We start from the raw sequence: 2,963 nt of genomic DNA, 5'->3' as shown, positions 1-2,963 counted from the left end.
CTTGCTCTGTCGCCCAGGCTGGAGTGCAGTGGCGCAATCTTGGCTCCCTGCAAGCTCTGCCTCCCGGGTTCACGCCATTCTCCTCCCTCAGCCTCCCGAGTAGCTGGAACTACAGACGCATGCCGCCATGCCTGGCTAATTTTTTGTTTTTGTTTTTTTTTTTTTTTTGTAATTTTAATAGAGACAGGGTTTCACCGTGATAGCCAGGATGGTCTCGATCTCCTGACCTCGTGATCTGCCTTCCTCGGCTTCCCAAAGTGCTGGGATTACAGGCGTGAGCCACCGCACCCGGCCATTGGCATCTTTCTTAGTGCCATCATGATGGCAAGACAGCTGCCGTGGCTCCAGACCAGAACTGAATCCAGAGGAAAAGGGGGCCAGCTTTGCTTTCACTGATGACTCGCTGGCCTGAACTGGGTCATGTGATCACCCCTAAACCCATCATGTAGCCAAGACAAGGCATGGCTCATTGCAGCCTGCATGGTGCCCGACCCAGGGCCGTGACCCCCTGAGCCTCAGTTTTCTCATCTGGAAATTGAAGATAATCATGACACCCCCCACCACGTTGTTGGGATGATGGCTGAGGTCTGACACGCAGGAGATGCAGAGGTGAGGCGTGTTCTCTGCCTCCTCTGGTTTTGGCGGTGCAGGCCTGGAGGGTCCCTTCTCCCTCCATGCCTCAGTTTCTAAGGAGACAGCCGCAAGAGGTCTGGCCTCATCTCCGTGTTCATGCCTATGGTCCAGCACACAGTAGGCACTCAATAAATGTTTGTCAAATAAATGTGTGCGGTGTGTGTGGTTCCAGGGGTCATTGGTGGAAACCATGGGGAAGGGTTTGGACGTGGGAGGTGGTGGTGATAGGGAGACAGAATCCGCTAAAAATGAGAATGTGCTTGCTAACTCATAGAGATGCCCAGAGACAACGTAGGCTGTCTCTGGAGGTAGTGAGCTCCCCGTCAGCAGAAGCATTCAAGCGGAGGTCAATGTCACTTCCAAAATCCTTTCTACGATTCCTTGCCTCTGCACTTCCACAGCTCTGCAGGCTGCATGATCGAAGCTCTGGCCCAGGCCAGGTGTAGCTGGCTGGCTTGGCTGTGCTGGACTCCCAAGGCTGGGCTGGAGCCTTGAGCCTCCCAAGCGCCCCAGCCCTGCATGAGACAGAACTATCGGTATCCATGCTCATATCCACACTGGGGCTGACAGGGAGGGTTGAGCCCAGCGACTCTGCGTGGGTCACATGGTGGTCACTGCTGGCTGAAGTGGGCAGAGCCACAGGCAGGTTCCAGCAAAGATTAAAAACCTTCTGTGCAAATACCCCAAGGAAAAACTTGAAAATCTTCCCCTGAAACCTCTTCCCGCTGACTCTCTCCGTCCCGTCCCTCTGTCTGCCTCTGTCCAGCTGCATTTCCCTTTGGGATCTGGCCCCCTTGTCTCTCTTGGTTTCTCTGCCTCTCCATCTTCCTCTCTCCCTGGGAGGAGGTGGGCCAGGGAAGGGGATGTGGGGCGCTTTGCCAACCTCTCCTCTGTCGTCTCACACCTTTGAAGCCCCCTCTCTGCAGGGAGGGGCTTGGCTGTGGGAGCCTCAGGGTTTTCCGTCTCTACTCCCAGACCACCCCCAGGGCCTCTCTGCCCACACAGGGAGCAGTTTGCAGACGAAGCAGGTGCAATGGGGAGGGGTCCAGGAAACCTGGCAGTGTCTGTGCCTGGCCTGAGTGTCCCCAGGGCTCCTGGGGTCTCCGTCCCGGCCTCCACCTCCCCACTGCCCTGTCCAAAGGAAGGAAGGGCAACCCTCACCACACTGCACCATCCACACTGCCCCTCCACATGAGCTGGTCCGGTCCTGCTAATCCAGCCTCACCAGCCACACCACAGCACGTGCCTGCAATCCCTTGCCCGCCTTGCCCGCCATCTCATATCCCACACAGCAGGGCCCCTTTTGGGGGAGCAATCCCATTACAGGCTGCCTGGGGTCGCAGTGGTCTCAGCTAGCCCCACCTAGTAGGGCACGTGATCTAACGCTCCGGGCCTCAGTTTCCTCGTTTGTAAAATGGAATTAAATGCACACAAATGTTTAGGTTAATGGGCGCCCTGGAGGTGGGGGGACCCTCAGCGAATTAGTGCTGGAGTCGTCCCAGGGCCATCGGCTGAGACAGCCTGGGTGGGGTCGGAGGTGGGCGATGGATCAGTGTGGGGGTGGGGGGGCCGATGTTGGGGGGTGGTCTGCGGTGAGCGGGGCCTGCGGTGGGTGGGGTCCGCGGTGGCTGGAGACCATGAAGTGGGCGGCAATTGGGATGGGCTGGGGTCCGAGATAGGCGGAGCTTACAGTGGGCTGGGTCCGGGATGGGCAGGGTCCGTGGTGGGCCAAGGTCCTAGGTGGGCTGGGTCGGGCAGAATCTGCGGTAGGTGGGGTTCAGGATGGGCTGGAGTCGCTGCCGGTCAGGTCAAGAATGGGCTAGGTCCGTGGTGGGCGGGGTGCAGGATGGGCGGGGTCCGCGGTGGGCAGGGCCTGGGATAGGCGTGGTCTGGAGGGGTGGGGTCGGTGGTGGGCGGGGCTAGGGACGGGCGGGGTCAGGGATGGGCCGGTGTCTGGGATGGGCGGGGCCTAGGATGGGTGAGGTCCGCGGTGGGCGGGGTCCGGGATGGGCCGGGGTCCGCGCTCCCGCCCGCAGCCCGCAGGGGGCGTTCCTGGTCGCTCGGAGCCGCGCGGTCTCCGAAGATGAGCTTCCTACCCTGGGGCGATGCAGCCGCGCCCATCTCCGATCCGGATGGCGCCACTCACCGCGGAGTGACAGCTGCGGCGCCCCTGGGGGGCTGCGGGCCTGCGCCCCGCGGCTGGGGGCACACGAGAGGCCGCGCCCGGGGCCCTCGCTGTCCTCCCCTCTCCTGGAGTTCCCCGGGGAAGGCCTCCCCATCTGCCACCCCGCCCGGATTTCTCACCTTGCTGGGTTCGATCCCATCTGGCG

The 2,963-nt window shown here is 61.1% G+C and overlaps 2 annotated features.

Moving 5' to 3' along the window:
* Positions 1,214–1,738: an enhancer, noted in NCBI's record as "H3K4me1 hESC enhancer chr7:1409793-1410317 (GRCh37/hg19 assembly coordinates)". NCBI's record gives its function as "activates a minimal SCP1, AML or CMV promoter by ChIP-STARR-seq in naive H9 embryonic stem cells {active_cell/tissue: H9 hESC(naive)}" and the evidence as "EXISTENCE:reporter gene assay evidence [ECO:0000049][PMID:30033119]".
* Positions 2,534–2,653: a silencer, noted in NCBI's record as "silent region_17850". NCBI's record gives its function as "represses an Ori minimal core promoter by ATAC-STARR-seq in GM12878 lymphoblastoid cells {active_cell/tissue: GM12878}" and the evidence as "EXISTENCE:reporter gene assay evidence [ECO:0000049][PMID:35858748]".

This window comes from Homo sapiens, chromosome 7, assembly GCF_000001405.40.
Source record: "Homo sapiens chromosome 7, GRCh38.p14 Primary Assembly".
Taxonomy (NCBI): domain Eukaryota; kingdom Metazoa; phylum Chordata; class Mammalia; order Primates; family Hominidae; genus Homo; species Homo sapiens.
This window is presented reverse-complemented; position numbering and strand designations above follow the sequence as displayed.